The 17,183-nt window shown below is 39.5% G+C and overlaps 1 protein-coding gene across 4 annotated transcripts in view, besides 2 other annotated features; it reads right to left on the bottom strand.

The window, feature by feature from the left end:
- MGST1 (microsomal glutathione S-transferase 1) overlaps positions 1 to 17,183 on the bottom strand; it is a 246,217-nt gene that overhangs the window by 202,353 nt on the left and 26,681 nt on the right. For 2 of the 4 annotated variants that reach the window (NM_001414362.1, NM_001267598.2), the window contains one exon: positions 13,787 to 14,857. In NM_001414362.1, coding sequence (NP_001401291.1) covers positions 14,815 to 14,857 — 43 coding nt within the window. In that variant the 3' untranslated portion in view covers positions 13,787 to 14,814. Of the gene's footprint in view, positions 1 to 3,853; positions 7,473 to 13,786; positions 14,858 to 17,183 lie in introns of those variants that run through there. The other 2 variants (XM_047428857.1, XM_047428856.1) reach the window with 2 other exon arrangements.
- Positions 7,435 to 8,027: an enhancer, noted in NCBI's record as "H3K27ac-H3K4me1 hESC enhancer chr12:16535886-16536478 (GRCh37/hg19 assembly coordinates)". NCBI's record gives its function as "activates a minimal SCP1, AML or CMV promoter by ChIP-STARR-seq in naive H9 embryonic stem cells {active_cell/tissue: H9 hESC(naive)}" and the evidence as "EXISTENCE:reporter gene assay evidence [ECO:0000049][PMID:30033119]".
- Positions 8,028 to 8,621: an enhancer, noted in NCBI's record as "H3K27ac-H3K4me1 hESC enhancer chr12:16535292-16535885 (GRCh37/hg19 assembly coordinates)". NCBI's record gives its function as "activates a minimal SCP1, AML or CMV promoter by ChIP-STARR-seq in naive H9 embryonic stem cells {active_cell/tissue: H9 hESC(naive)}" and the evidence as "EXISTENCE:reporter gene assay evidence [ECO:0000049][PMID:30033119]".

Here is a 17,183-nt window from a genome sequence, read left to right as displayed (position 1 = left end):
AAAAATAAAAGATGCTAGAGAGGTTGTGGAGAAAAGCGAACACTTATGCACTCTTGGTGGGAGTGTAAATAAATTCAACCATTGTGGAAAGAAGTGTGGCGCTTCCTCAAAGAGCTAAAAACAGAAATACCATTTGACCCAGCAATCCTATTACTGGGTCTATACCCAGAACAATACAAATAATTCTACTATAAAGACATACATGTGAATGTTCATTGCAGCACTCTTTACAATAGCAATGACAGGGAATCAACCTAAATGCTCATCAATGACAGACTGGATAAAGAAAATGTGTACATATACACCATGGAATGATGTACATTATGTAGCCATAAAAAGGAATAAGAACAAGATTGTGTCTTTTATTGGAACATGGATGGAGCTGGAAGCTATTATTCTTAGCAAACTAGCACAGAAACAGAAAACCAAATACTGCATATCCTCACTTATAAGTGGAAGCTAAATGATGAGAACACATGGACACAAAGAAGGGAACGACAGACACTGGGGCCTACTTGAGGGTGGAGGGTGGCAGGAGGGAGAGGAGCAGAAAAGAATAACTATTGGATACTAGGCTTAGTGCCTGGGTGACAAAATAATCTGGACAACAAACCCCCAAGACATGAGTTTGCCTATATAGCAAATATGCATATGTTTAGAGTTTAAACAAATACTGTTTTTTTCTATAATTTGTAGCATGTGTTAGCTTTCTAAAGTGGACAATTTTTTTAAAAAATTCTCTACCCAGTTTAATATTTTAAATTGTTCTTTTTTTTTTTCCCCTGAGGTGCCCTCAAATTACATAAGGTTTAGGCCCCATAAAACCTGTATATGCCCCTGCCTCTATTACATTTCCTAACCAGAGAAATGTGTAAATGTCAGTCTTTGCTGGAGTTATTCTGACAAGATGTATTTAGGGCCTCCCTTTTGGAGCGCTTGCCACATAAATGTGAACATATCAAAATGAGCCTTCGTGTGTGAAATTTCAACCCTCTGACGGATGGAGCTGCAGTCTGTATTGCACTTCAACTCCCTTTTCACAAGAGCATTGCTCTCTTTTTCTCTTTTTCTACTTACGCAATCCTGCCTCACTCTTCATTACAACTTCCCCTTGGGAGCACCTGATCCAGTGCTTCTGGCTCTCATCACTCTATTTTGCCTCTACCGAGAGATCTCATGCCTCACTCCCAGCCACCTCTGCAAGCTCTTACTATGAAAACTCCAATATTGCTCACTAAACACGTGTTCATACTTCAAACCCCAATGAGTCAGCATCAGCTAATAACACCCTTCTTTCACATTCCAAACTCTCCCTCCATCTGGAATCCTTGCTTCTCTGTAGTCCCTCCTATGAGGTACTCATGTCATATTGCTGCACCTACCAGACCAAGGAAATCCAGGGAAACCCCATTTTTCTACTGGCTATCCTAAGAAGGGCAGGGAAAACCCAATATTTTAAATTGAAATTTCAAGAGTTTGGAATTTCAAGAGTAAGCAATGTTCCGTGCCGTCAATTTGACCCGACCCATGGAATCACAAAAAAGACAAAAAGAGACCTTATTTATTTTAGTTCAACTACAGTCTGGTTTAAATGGTCTTCTATAAGCAAAACAGGACACTTAACCACTATTCTCAACATTATTTTTAGGCAAGTTGTGCTCTTGCATTACAAATAACTGGCTCAATAAATGACTGTTGAGATACAAACTGTTGATGCATCGAGTAAACAAACTATTTCTTTTCAGTTTGTGAAGCTAAAATTTCCTTCTGTTATTTCTGTAATTGGAGCTGGTTGCTGGGTAAGCCATCACATTATCTATCACCTAGGTGTCACTATGGCTAATTATTAAAACGAATCCCAGTGCAAGGTATTTACCATCCCTATGCCACCTGTATTTGTCTTCAGATACGCAAAGTGGCACTTTACAAGATTAACTTAATTTCCCCAAGAAGGTTCAGAAGCTGAACTTCAAGAAGCATTCCTTCTCTATTGCTGTTGCTTCCTGGGATCATCCATGGTTTTCTGTTTTAAAGTGGCCTTCATCTGAGATTCAGTGTAGTTGCTCAGTGGAAGGTCCAGGCCTGGCCTAGAGCAGGAGTTCTGGAAGGACAGAGTACAGCTCCTGCCACATTACAAGAGTCTCCACTCAAGTCTCCTAAAGCTGCCTTAAGCCTCTCCAGTTCCTCGAGGTCCATTAGTTTTAATTTAAGGATGTAGAACTCAGCCTGTGATAATGCCTAGGCCAGTGTCGCTTGAAGGGTTCCACTAAGTGTTTCCAGTGTGTCACAAAATAAATACAGAAATTGAGAGTAAGCATTAAAAGGACACTTATAGCCAGCTGATATTGCTGTGACAACCAAGCATATAGTTAATTAACTGGTTTTAATAAACAGGGAATACAGTAGACACCAGTTATCTGCAAGTGTATATTTCAAGAGTCCAGTTGATGCCTGAAACTGTCAATAGTATCAAATCCTACTGGTAACAACTGGCCCCTGCCAGCTAGTGTGAGCCACCTTCAGCTCCGTGACGATGCTGGTGTAAACCAACCCACTGGGTTGCAAGTCATAGAAAAGCAAACAAGTAATATCCTAGGCCTCCACGTTCACTCCCCACTCACTCACTGACACCCACAGCAACTTCCAATCCTGCAAGCTCCATTTGTGATAAATGCCCTATACAAGTATACCATTTTTAATGTTTTCTACTGTATTTCACTATACCTTTTCTATGTTTAGGTACACAAATACTTACCATTGTGTTACAATTGCCTACAGTATTCAGTACAGTAACATGGTTGGTGCAAAAGTAATTGCAGTTTTTGTCATCACTTTTATGGCAAAAACCGCAATTACTTTTGCACCAACTTAATATGTCTATATACAGTCATGTATTGCTTAACAACAGAGATACATTCTGAGGGATGGATTGGCAGGTGATTTTATCTTTGTGAAAACATCATGGTGTGTACTTCCACAAACCTAGATGGTATGGCCTACCACATACCTAGGCTATATGGTGTAGACTATTGCTCTTAGGCTACAAATCTACGTAGCATGTTACTGTACTGAATACTGTAGACAAATTGTAGTGCAATGGTAAGTATTTGTGTATCTAAACATAGAAAAGGTACAGTGAAATACAGTAGAAAACAGCAGGGTGCGGCGGCTCACGCCTGTAATCCAGCACTTCAGGAGGCCAAGGCGGGCAGATCATGAGGTCAGGAGATCGAGACCATCCTGGTTAACACGGTGAAAACCCGTCTCTACTAAAAATACAAAAAATTAGCCAGGCGTGGTGGTGGGCGCCTGTAGTCCCAGCTACTCGGGAGGCTGAGGCAGGAGAATGGCGTGAACGTGGGAGGCGGAGCTTGCAGTGAGCCGAGATAGCCCCACTGCACTCCAGCCTGGGCAACAGAGCGAGACTCCATCTCAAAAAAAAAAAAAATGGTATACCTGTATAGGGCATTTATCATGAATGGAGCTTGCAGGATTGGAAGTCACTGTGGGTGAGTCAGTGAGTGAGTGGGCAGTGAATGCGAAGGCCTAGGACATTACTTGTTCGCTTTTCTATGACTTGCAACCCAGTAGGTTGGTGTGCACCAGCATCAACATAAAGAGGGGAGTAATGCTTTGCACTATAATGTTAGGACAGCTATGACATCACTAGGTGATAGAAATTTTCCAGCTGTATTATTATCTTATGGGTCCACAGCCATATATATGCTCCATCATTGACCAAAATGTCATTATGCAATGCATGACTGTGCTGTTTTTTTTCCCATTTATACATGTATGTCATGCACTATGATAAAGTTTAATTTATAAATTAGGCACAATAAAATAAAGATTATAAAGTTTGTAAAGTTTAATTTACAAATTAGGCACAGTAAAAGATTTAACAGCAATAACTAGTAACTAATAATAAAATAGAACAATTATAATATGCCAGCATTACTACTCTTGGACTTTGGGGCCATTATTAAGTAAAATACATGAACACAAACACTGCAATGCCACTACAATCGATCTGATCACCAAGCTGGCTGCTAAGTGACTGACAGGGTGGACAGTGTATATTGTGCAGAGACGCTTGATAAAAAGATAATTCACATCCCAGGCCGGATGGAGTTGGAAGTAGATTTCATCACTCTACTTAGAGTGGCACACAATTTAAAACTTACGAGTTGCTTATTTCTGGAAATTTCCATTTAATATTTTTGAACTGCAAGTGACCATAGGTAACTGAAATTGCAGAAAGGAAAACTGAGACAAAGGGGGCCTACTGTACACAGTTTGGGTGTTCGCAAACTCACACAGTGAGCGGCATACTGGTCATATACAGTAACATCAGGCATTGGCCTGCAAAAGATCAGAAGTAAAAACTATTTTTTAAAAGCTAGCTCGTAATTCTTCATGACAGATTGTTTTAGAAGCTTCGGTCTCAGTATTGAGAGTAGGCTGGGAGGCAGGAAAAGTTTAATGATGCAAGTTGGAAAGATCCCAGGACCTCTATAGAGATAATCCTGATTTCTGCACAGTCTGAGTAATTTTCGGCATTGCCATACCCTTGCACTCTAAATCCATGTGCTAGGGCTAAGTTGTGCCGAGTCCTAGCTTGGGTGACATGCCGCTATAAACTGCTTCTTCAGAGCCTGCGGAGCACTTTCCTTCTATCCAGCAGAGTAGAAATAACTTGCCGCGTGTACAGCACTGATGTCCAAAAGAAAAGTCACACAGGGACATCTAGTGGCAATGGGAAATCACCGATCTTCTCCAAAAGAGCTCAAGAATTTCCAAACCACAAACTGCTTGGATACTTTGGACTGGTTTATTGACCAGTGCAAACCTCGCAACCTAGCAAATTTGTCACTGCCTCCGAAGGCAAACAGGCATACAGGGAACTGAAATAGAGCTGGGTAGCCCTGGCCAAAAGGAGCCCACACCTAACGAGCCACTGAAAGACCAAATGAAGCAAAGAGTGAAGGCAGTAGGCAGATTCTTTAGGCAAGTGTGCTGAGAAGAGGGTAGATAGGAGACTCTCATTTTATGGGCAATTACTTCAATACTCTCTAGTTGGCTGTCAAATAGACTTGACTCTTAAGAGGTAGAAAAGACGCAAAACTCCAAAAGAAACTGTATGTATTAAAAGCAGCCCTCCAAACTTGCTGATCTATCAATTAGCATTTGCAGAACTCTTAATGAGAGTTACTTGTGAGCTCCACAGTATCGTGCCAAAGACAAATCAAAGTTAGCCACCCAGATTGAGGAAAAAAAAAAAAAAAAGAAAGCCCTTTGAAAAGAGACGGGCTTCTCCTGGGCTTTGATGGTAGGTCTGAAACTAAAAGAGATACAGTTGCATCAGATTATCATTGTTTGAAACAGACTTTTTCCCAGGCAGATGTGCAAATAAATTGTTAATAAAATAAGTATAAATTTAGCCGGTAAAAATTATAGTGGATTTTACTTGAGAAAAATATTGAAAGCATATAACCACTGATTTTTGCCATTTCTATGTGTAATAAGATCAAATATTATATACAATTCATGCACACAAATGTAGTTTTAAAGAAATCATGTGATTGATGTAACCTCAGAGTTCTTCCTTCACTTCCAACCTCCCTCCACCTAATGACAAAAGAAATTTTAGACTTGCCCCATTCACACTGATTACAATGGTCCATTGCAGCAGAATTCATATTGCAGTTCAAACTATTTCTTATTAAAATTTCTCTTTTCAAGATTCTCCTCCTCTCCAAAATAAAATTTGGGCACAATAAGAACTTTATACTGGGGAGGCGATCTTTAGTTCCAAATTATATTTCTTCCCTGGCTTCTGCTTCTCTGAGTTGCAAATAGTTTCTTCTGATCTGTCCTATCTAAATCCATTCTAGCAAGTCCACGGTGGGTGAAATCCATGGGCTGTTTTCTCAGCATATCTAGCACCTGATACTATTTCCCCTTTCCCACCTAACTCCTGTTCCTTCTTTGGCCTCTACCGTTACTCTACAACTCCACCTATAGTCTCTGCTGTAACCCCAGCTAGAGTTATCCCTCACTACAGGGATCCCTGTGATAGGCCTACTGCTTCGCAGCCATCAGCTGCCTTCTGCATCCCACAAGGAGCATGTCAGAACTCCAGGAAGCTGCGTACAAAAGTACGTCAAGAGATACTTAGGGGTTTTCTCTCTGGAACTCACCCCTGCAAACTACCTGACCAATATTACTATGCTTTTGGGCATCCCCTATTGCACTTAGGTGCCCTGTGATTGGGATTCTTCCCAGAGTTTGGTATAATAAGTGAGATATATTGGTTTTCTAGAGCAATTCATACCAAATTACCACAAACTTAGCGGCTTAAAACATAAATTTATTATCTCCCAGTTCAGGAGGTCAGAAACCTGAAATCAAGTTGTTGGCAGGGTTGGTTCTGTCTGGATTCTCCAGGGCGTCTGTTCCTTGCCTCTCTCCTACCTTCTGGTTGCTTGCAACCCTTGGCATTCCTTGGCTTGGGGCTGTGTAACCCCACTCTCTGCATCTGTCCTCACGTGGACTTCTCTCTGTGTCTCTGCATCTGTTTCCCCTTCTCTTCTAATTATTTGCCATTGGATTTAGAGCCCAATCTAATCCAGAATAATCTCATCGAGATAACCTTAACTTAATTATGTCTGCCCAAACCCTTTTTTCCACAAAAGGTCACATTTATAGGTTCCAAGGATTAGAAGTTGGATACATTTTGGGGGGCAGGAGGGCACATTTAAATCAATTACATGGGGCATATCCTTCAATAGGGTGCCTATCTTCTCACAAAGGCCAGAGATGGGTAAGTTCCCTCAGGGGACCCCAGCAGTATCCCAACCCAAGATCCATTCTCTCTGAACCCCCTCTTTTTGTACCAGAGGAATTTCTACTTTTTGTCCCTTTTCAATGAAGAATTCCCCCTGTTGCACCTGTGTTAATTCCTATTTGTGGGCTTCTTGAATAGAAAATGCCTCCTCTCCTCTTCCCTTTGGTAATAAAGTCTCAGGGCATAGTGTTAATGAAAAAAAATGCAACAAAAACCTGTATGGTTTAAGAAAGAGATTATGCCATTTGTAATCATATTTTAAAATAATATCTGTATTATACATGTGCAGACACACACAGAATAGTATGTTATATTATGATATTGTCCCCACATGGCAACATCTTAACACAAACTTTAAGAAAGAAACTCAGGTCCGGGTATGGTGGCTCACGCCTGTAATCCCAGCACTTTGGGAGGCCAAGGCGGATGGATCACCTGAGGTCAGAAGTTTGAGACCAGCCTGACCAGCATTGAGAAACCCCATCTCTACTAAAAATACAAAATTAACCAGGTGTAGTGGCACATACCTGTAATCCCAGCTACTCAAGAGGCTGAGGCAGGAGAATCACTTGAATCCGGGAGGCAGAGGTTGCGGTGAGCTGAGATCATGCCATTGCACTCCATCCTGGACAACAAGAACAAAACTCCGTCTCAAAAATAAAAAGAAAAAAGAAAAGAAAAGAAAAAGAAAAAGACTTGGAAAAAAATATATAAATTTTTACCATGTATAAAAATGTAATCACATGGACCAACTGAAAACAACTCAGAAAAACAAAACTCAGACTTACATATAAAACCTTCCTCTGTGGAGTGCAAAATATTTTAAAAGTATTAGCTCAGAGAGAAGCCAAGATGGCCGAATAGGAACAGCTCCGGTCTACAGCTCCCAGCGTGAGTGAGGCAGAAAACGGGTGATTTCTGCATTTCCAACTGAGGTACCAGGTTCATCTCGCTGGGGAGTGCCAGACAGTAGGCGCAGGTCAGTGGGTGCAGTGCACCGTGCACGAGCCAAAGCAAGGCGAGGCATCGCCTCACCCAGGAAGTGCAAGGGGTCAGGGAATTCCCTTTCCTAGTCAAAGAAAGGGGTGAGAGACGGCACCTGGAAAATCAGGTCTCTCCCACTCTAATACTGTGCTTTTCCAATGGGCTTAAAACAAGGCACACCAGGAGATTATATCTCGCACCTGGCTCGGAGGGTCCCATGCCCACGGAGTCTCGCTCATTGCTAGCACAGCAGTCCGAGATCAAACTGCAAGGCAGCAGCGAGGCTGGGGGAGGGGCGCCCACCATTGCTGAGTTAGTTGTTTGATTAGGTAAACAAAGCGGCTGGGAAGCTGGAACTGGGTGGAGCCCACCACAGCTCAAGGAGGCCTGCCTGCCTCTGTAGGCTCCACTTCTGCGGGCAGGGCACAGACAAACAAAAAGACCGCAGTAACCTCTGCAGACTTAAAAGTCCCTGTCTGACAGCTTTGAAGAGAGTAGTGGTTCTCCCAGCACACAGCTTGAGATCTGAGAACGGGCAGACTGCCTCCTCAAGTGGGTCCCTGATCCCCGAATAGCCTAACTGGGAGGCACCCCCCCAGTAGGGGCGGACTGACACCTCACACGGCCGGGTACTCCTCTGAGACAAAACCTCCAGAGGAACGATCAGGCAGCAGCATTTGCGGTTCACCAATACACACTGTTCTACAGCCACTGCTGCTGATACCCAGGCAAACAGGGTCTGGAGTGGACCTCCAGCAAACTCCAACAGACCTGCAGCTGAGGGTCCTGTCTGTTAGAAGGAAAACTAACAAACAGAAAGGACATCCATACCAAAAACCCATCTGTATGTCACCATCATCAAAGACCAAAGGTAGATAAAACCACAAAGATGGGAAAAAAACAGAGCAGAAAAACTAGAAACTCTAAAAATCAGAGCGCCTCTCCTCCTCAAAAGGAATGCAGCTCCTCACCAGCAACGGAACAAAGCGGGACAGAGAATGACTTTGATGAGTTGAGAGAAGAAGGCTTCAGATGATCAAACTACTCCGAGCTACAGGAGGAAATTCGAACCAATGGCAAAGAAGTTAAAAGCTTTGAAAAAAAAATTAGATGAATGGATAACTAGAATAACCAATGCAGAGAAGTACTTAAAGGACCTGATGGAGCTGAAAACCAAGGCACGAGAGCTATGTGAAGAATGCAGAAGCCTCAGTAGCTGATGCGATCAACTGGAAGAAAGGGTATCAGTGATGGAAGATGAAATGAATGAAACGAAGCGAGAAGAGAAGTTTAGAGAAAAAAGAATAAAAAGAAATGAACAAAGCCTCCAAGAAATATGGGACTATGTGAAAAGACCAAATCTACATCTGATTGGTGTACCTGAAAGTGATGGGGAGAATGGAACCAAGGTGGAAAACACTCTGCAGGATATTATCCAGGAGAACTTCCCCAATCTAGCAAGGCAGGCCAACATTCAAATTCAGGAAATACAGAGAATGCCACAAAGATACTCCTCGAGAGCAACCCCAAGACACATAATTGTGAGATTCACCAAAGTTGAAATGAAGGAAAAAATGTTAAGAGCAGCCAGAGAGAAAGGTCGGGTTACCCACAAAGGGAAGCCCATCAGACTAATAGCTGATCTCTCGGCAGAAACTCTACAAGCCAGAAGAGAGTGGGGACCAATATTCAACATTCTTAAAGAAAAGAATTTTCAACCCAGAATTTCATATCCAGCCAAACTAAGCTTCATAAGTGAAAGAGAAATAAAATACTTTACAGACAAGCAAATGCTGAGAGATTTTGTCACCACCAGGCCTGCCCTGAAAGAGCTCCTGAAGGAAGCACTAAATATGGAAAGGAAGAACCGGTACCAGCCACTGCAAAAACATGCCAAATTGTAAAGACTGTCAATGCTAGGAAGAAACTGCATCAACTAACGAGCAAAATAACCAGCTAACATCATAATGACAGGAAAAAATTCACACATAACAATATTAACTTTAAATGTAAATGGGCTAAATGCTCCAATTAAAAGACACAGACCGGCAAATTGGATAAAGAGTCAAGACACATCAGTGTGCTGTATTCAGGTGCATCTCACATGCAGAGACACACATAGGCTCAAAATAAAGGGATGGAGGAAGAGCTACCAAGCGAATGGAAAAGAAAAAAGGCAGGGATTGCAATCCTAGTCTCAGATAAAACAGACTTTAAACCAACAAAGATCAAAAGAGACAAAGAAGGCCACTACATAATGGTAAAGGGATCAATTCAACAAGAAGAGCTAACTATCCTAAATATATATGCACCCAATACAGGAGCACCCAGATTCATAAAGCAAGTCATCAGTGACCTACAAAGAGACTTAGACTCCCACACAATAATAATGGGAGACTTTAACACCCTACTGTCAACATTAGACAGATCAACAAGACAGAAAGTTAACAAGGATACCCAGGAATTGAACTCAGCTCTGCACCAAGCAGACCTAATAGACATCTACAGAACTCTCCACCCCAAATCAACAGAATATACATTCTTTTCAGCACCATACCACACCTACTCCAAAATCGACCACATAGTTGGAAGTAAAGCACCCCTCAGCAAATGTAAAAGAACAGAAATTATAACAAACTGTCTCTCAGACCCCAGTGCAATCAAACTAGAACTCAGGATTAAAAAAACTCACTCAAAACCGCTCAACCACATGGAAACTGAACAACCTGCTCCTGAATGACTACTGGGTAAATAATGAAATGAAGGCAGAAATAAAGATGTTCTTTGAAACCAATGAGAACAAACACACAACATACCAGAATCTCTGGCACACATTCAAAGCAGTGTGTAGAGGGAAATTTATAGCACTAAATGCCCACAAGAGAAAGCAGGAAAGACCTAAAATTGACACCCTAACATCACAATTAAAAGAACTAGAAAAGCAAGAGCAAACACATTCAAAAGCTAGCAGAAGGCAAGAAATAACTAAGATCAGAGCAGAACTGAAGGAAATAGAGACACAAAAAACCCTTCAAAAATTAATGAATCCAGGAGCTGGTTTTTTGAAAAGATCAACAAAATTGATAGACCGCTAGCAAGACTAATAAAGAAGAAAAAAGAATCAAATAGATGCAATAAAAAATGATAAAGGGGATATCACCACCGATCCCACAGAAATACAAACTACCATCAGAGAATACTACAAACACCTCTATGCAAATAAACTAGACAATCTAGAAGAAATGGATAAATTCCTTGACACATACATCCTCCCAAGACTAAACCAGGAAGAAGTTGAATCTCTGAACAGACCAATAACAGGCTCTGAAATTGAGGCAATAATCAATAGCTTACCAGCCAAAAACAGTCCAGGACCAGATGGATCCACAGCCGAATTCTACCAGAGATACAAAGAGGAGCTGGTACCATTCCTTCTGAAACTATTCCAATCAATAGCAAAAGAGGGAATCCTCCCTAACTCATTTTATGAGGCCAGCATCATCCTGATACCAAAGCCAGGCAGAGACACAACCAAAAAAGAGAATTTTAGACCAGTATCCTTGGTGAACATTGATGCAAAAATCCTCAATAAAATACTGGCAAACAGAATCCAGCAGCACATCAAAAACTTATCCACCATGATCAAGTGGGCTTCATCCCTGGGATGCAAGGCTGGTTCAATATATGCAAATCAATAAATGTAATCCAGCATATAAACAGAACCAAAGACAAAAACCACATGATTTTCTCAATAGATGTAGAAAAGGCCTTTGACAAAATTCGACAACTCTTCATGCTAAAAACTCTCAGTAAATTAGGTATTGATGGGATGTATCTCAAAATAATAAGAGCTATCTATGACAAACCCACAGCGAATATCATACTGAATGGACAAAAACTGGAAGCATTCCCTTTGAAAACTGGCACAAGACAAGGATGACTTCTCTCACCACTCCTATTCAACATAGTGTTGGAAGTTCTGGCCAGGACAATCAGGCAGGAAAAGGAAATAAAGGGTATTCAATTAGGAAAAGAGGAAGTCAAATTGTCCCTGTTTGCAGATGACATGATTGTATATCTAGAAAACCCCATTGCCTCAGCCCAAAATTTCCTTAAGCTGATAAGCAACTTCAGCAAAGTCTCAGGATACAAAATCAATGTGCAAAAATCACAAGCATTCTTATACACGAATAACAGACAAACAGAGAGCCAAATCATGAGTGAACTCCCATTCACAATTGCTTCAAAGAGAATAAAACACCTAGGAATCCAACTTACAAGGGATGTGAAGGACCTCTTCAAGGAGAACTACAAACCACTGCTCAATGAAATAAAAGAGGAGACAAACAAATGGAAGAACATTCCATGCTCATGGGTAGGAAGAATCAATATCGTGAAAATGGCCATACTGCCCAAGGTAATTTATAGATTCAATGCCATCCCCATCAAGCTACCAATGCCTTTCTTCACAGAATTGGAAAAAACTACTTTAAAGTTCATATGGAACCAAAAAAGAGCCCGCATCGCCAAGTCAATCCTAAGCCAAAAGAACAAAGCTGGAGGCATCATGCTACCTGACTTCAAACTATACTACAAGGCTACAGTAACCAAAACAGCATGGTACTGGTACCAAAACAGAAATATAGACCAATGGAACAGAACAGAGCCCTCAGAAATAATGCCACATATCTACAACTATCTGATCTTTGACAAACCTGACAAAAACAAGAAATTGGGAAAGGATTCCCTATTTAATAAATGGTGCTGGGAAAACTGGCTAGCCATATGTAGAAAGCTGAAACTGGATCCCTTCCTTACACCTTATACAAAAATTAATTCAAGATGGATTAAAGACTTACATGTTAGACCTAAAACCATAAAAACCCTGGAAGAAAACCTAGGCAATACCATTCAGGACATAGGCATGGGCAAGGACTTCATGTCTAAAACACAAAAAGCAATGGCAACAAAAGCCAAAATTGACAAATGGGATCTAATTAAATGAAAGAGCTTCTGCACAGCAAAAGAAAATACCATCAGAGTGAACAGGCAACCTACAGAATGGCAGAAAATTTTTGCAACCTACTCATCTGACAAAGGGCTAATATCCAGAATCTACAATGAACTCAAACAAATTTACAAGAAAAAAACAAACAACCCCATCAAAAAGTGGGCAAAGGATATGAACAGACACTTCTCAAAAGAAGACATTTATGCAGCCAAAAAACACATGAAAAAATGCTCATCATCACTGGCCATCAGAGAAATGCAAATCAAAACCACAATGAGATACCATCTCACACCAGTTAGAATGGCGATCATTAGAAAGTCAGGAAACAACAGGTGCTGGAGAGGATGTGGAGAAATAGGAACACTTTTACACTGTTAGTGGGACTGTAAACTAGTTCAACCACTGTGGAAGTTGGTGTGGTGATTCCTCAGGGATCTAGAACTAGAAATGCCATTTGACCCAGCCATCCCATTACTGGGTATATACCCAAAGGATTATAAATCATGCTGCTATAAAGACACATGCACACGTATGTATATAGCAGCACTATTCACAAAGCAAAGACTTGGAACCAACCTAAATGTCCAACAACGATAGACTGGATTAAGAAAATGTGGCACATATACACCGTGGAATACTATGCAGCCATAAAAAATGATGAGTTCATGTCCTTTGTAGGGACATGGATGAAACTGGAAACCATCATTCTCAGCAAACTATCGCAAGGACAAAAAACGAAACACCATATGTTCTCACTCATAGGTGGGAATTGAACAAGGAGAACACATGGACACAGGAAGGGGAACATCACACACTGGGGACCGTTGCGGGGTGGGGGGAGGGGGGAGGGATAGCACTAGGAGATATACCTAGTGCTAAATGACGAGTTAATGGGTGCAGCACACCAACATGGCACATGTATACATATGTAACAAACCTGCACGTTGTGCACATGTACCCTAAAACTTTAATAATAATAAAATTTAAAAAACACACGCACACAAAAAACTGGAGTATTTGAAAAGTGCAATAAACTGAAGCACACATCATTAAAAAAAAGTATTAGCTCAACAGTCAGCATCTAATTAATGTAAGTTTTGATAAGCTATATTTAGGTCTTGGAGGAATTTGCTCAACTTTACACTCTATGCTTTAACTTTTAATTTTAGAACATTTCAAACATAAATAAAAGGAATGAGAACAGTATAGTAATTATCCACGTACCTATTGCACAGTGTCAACAATTAACAATTCATGCTAACCTTACTTTATTCTGATGATACTGATATATATAATATCATCTAATATACAGATGATATTATATCATCTGTATTTCAGAGGTATTTCTTTAAAAACAGGCTCTTTTTTACATACTCAATGCCATTATCATATCTGAAAATATTTAACATATTTCATTAATATTAAATATTCTATCATTGTTCACATTTCCCCAATTGTTTACCACTTTCTACTTTGGTTTTTAAATTAGAATTCAAATCACATCCATACGTTGCAACTGAATGCTGACAAATCGCTCAAGTTTCTTTTAATCTCTAGGTTCTCTCTATGTCTCTGTTCTCTCGGTCAGTCAATCTCTACCTGGAAGCTTTTGCGGAAGAAATGGGTTTCTGGTCCTGGAGCATTTTTCTCTGTCTGAATTTTTCTGACTTCATCATGGTCTATTTTAATCCTTTGCATTTTCTTTAAATTTGTATTCAAAATTAGAGATTCGTGGAGATTTTTGTCAGTGTTTTTGTCCACACAGTTTCATAGATGGTATTGGGTACTTCCCGCAGTAATAGCTAATTTCCGATTGTCTTTTTGTGTTGTTAACAGCCGTGGATAATCTTTGCTTGAATCCATTAACTCATTAGATGTTGAAAAGATAAATTTTTTCTTCAATTATTCACTGGTTTGCTTCTACAAGGAAACATTTCTTCTTCATCAGCAATTGGTTATGCCGAGTTAAACTTTATATAGAAGAGGCAAGATAAATGCTCAGGGTTTGTTTGATTCTAAACAATTAAAAAAAAATAAGATTTTTAATATCCTTCAAAGACTATATACACACACGTGAACACATAAAATACATTTATATATATGTATAAAATCTGTGTGTGTACATATAGGTGTGTGGGTGTTGTGTGTGTATATATCTTATGAGCTCATAGATTTAAACATCTTTCACATCTTGAAATTTATTGGCATGGGAGCGTATTCATTTAGTCTAGAGTCCTTTTGACACAATGCTAGTTGTATTGAATAGCATCATTATTTTCTAATATGGTAAGTCATATTCCAGGTTCATCTCACATTGCCTGCATCTGCTTGCTAATTCCTTTCAGTAGACGTAGATAAAAATAATTATCTTTGTTTTGTTTTAGATAAAACACATCATCAGTTAAAACTAATACTTCTAATTCAAATTCAGTAGTACAGAGTTTCTACGTATTTGATTTTGTATGTGTATCTTCTTTCTGCCATGCCCCAAATCCTAGTTTTCAGTGATGCTGATATAATTACTCATTTGTTTCATGCCACACTATGCAGATTGCAGTCTCAGAATAATATCAACACTACTACCAATAATAATACTATTACTGAAAAGATTGTTTTCATATTCTGTTGTCCTACCATTTATGTTTAATCAAATTGTTACATTTTAAGACCACTTCGGATAGTTCCTTTGTGGAAGGTTATGCCATCAATAGGATACGCATTGAGGTTTCTTTGTTTCTTTTTACTTTCAATGTTTAGGAACTGCTCTTTGTGTTTAATTAATTTAATCATTATGTAAAATATTTATGTTTTCAAAGTCACATCTTTAAAACAAGATACTTTTAAAAATAGTTTCTATCTCTTTTCATTTTATTCTATTGCCTCCTTCCCTCTATAGTTAACTATTTTTTCCAAACTTTATGTTCTGTCTTTTCATTGATTTTAAAACATAAGAACAGTCAGGGTGCAGTGGCTCACTCCTTCAATCCCGGCACTTTGGGAGGCCAAGGCAGGAGGAACACTTGAAGCCAAGATTTTGAGACCAGACTGGGTAACATAGCAAGACCCTATCTCTACAAAAAATTTAAAAATTATCCAGGCATGGTGGTGCATGCCTGTTGTCTAAGCTACTCAAGAGGCGGCAGAGGGAGGATCGCTTGAGCCCAGGAGTTTGAGCTTACAGTGAGCTGTGATTGTCCCACTGCACTTCAGCATGGGCAACAGAGTGAGACTTGTCTCTAAAACAAACCAATACTAAATTAAATAAAACATAAGCACAAATACACACTCACACACATACAAGAGTATATATATATCCTAAAGTTTATTCCACAGTAACCATAGTAACATATAGAGATTTTTCTAATTCTTTTTACAGCTGCATAATAATCTATTGTGTTAATCTTCATAGTTTATTTAACCAGTCTCTGTTAGTGAATATTTGAATTATTTGCATTCGCTTGCTATTAAAAATGGTGCTTCAATAAATAACCTGGTTTTCAAGTACTTTCATACATTTATCTAGTGTAACTTTGGGGTAGGTTCCTAAAAATAGTAATCTATGACATTTTTCTTCTTCATATTTTAAAATATAGTTTAAAATGCTAATCAGTATCCTAAACATAATGGCTATTGTTTTTATTCTGGATAAAGGGATTTGGGGTGATTTTTGGATTTGGGTGGGTTTAAATTTTGTTTGTGTGGCAGAGCAATGAGACACTGTGATGCTCCTGGTGGAATAATATGCTATCTCTCCATAAAACAGCAATAAATTTAAATCCATCAAAGAAACTAGGAGCAATTTTAAAAGCAATAACCATGACTATATTATATGTGTGCAATATAAAATCACCACCGTGAGCATAAATGTCCCAGGAAAAAACAAAGATGTTAGACATCATCAGCTGTTTCTGAGTTTTCCATTTAGTTTCATTTGGCCATAGCATATTCTGCTCCCTGTTAATGTAAACTACTTGGCATTGGCTATGAAGTGATTAAACATTAATGGTTTTAGCTACCGTTTCTGAGAAGTGAGTGATTTAATGGTGTTACACTGGATGTATCATGATATCTGCATATCTACTCCAAACAAAAATACACTTTTCCAACCAAAGGGACTTTAAAACCTCAATTTCCATCACAGTAATGTCAAGAGAACTGATCTCATGGAAAAAAATTCAGCTACTAGGGAAAGCACATACAAGCTCAAAACATGCTGATAAGAAGCTATGTTTTCATAGAAGACAATTAACAATATTTCAATCCTTTAACAACTGAGAAAATTCTTGAAAAATTACTGAGTATCCCATATATACCAAGCCATATAGAATGTAATAATTGTAA

This window comes from Homo sapiens, chromosome 12 (genome assembly GCF_000001405.40).
Source record: "Homo sapiens chromosome 12, GRCh38.p14 Primary Assembly".
Classification (NCBI taxonomy): domain Eukaryota; kingdom Metazoa; phylum Chordata; class Mammalia; order Primates; family Hominidae; genus Homo; species Homo sapiens.
Note: the sequence above shows the minus strand (reverse complement) of the source record. Positions and strands in the feature narration are given on the sequence as shown.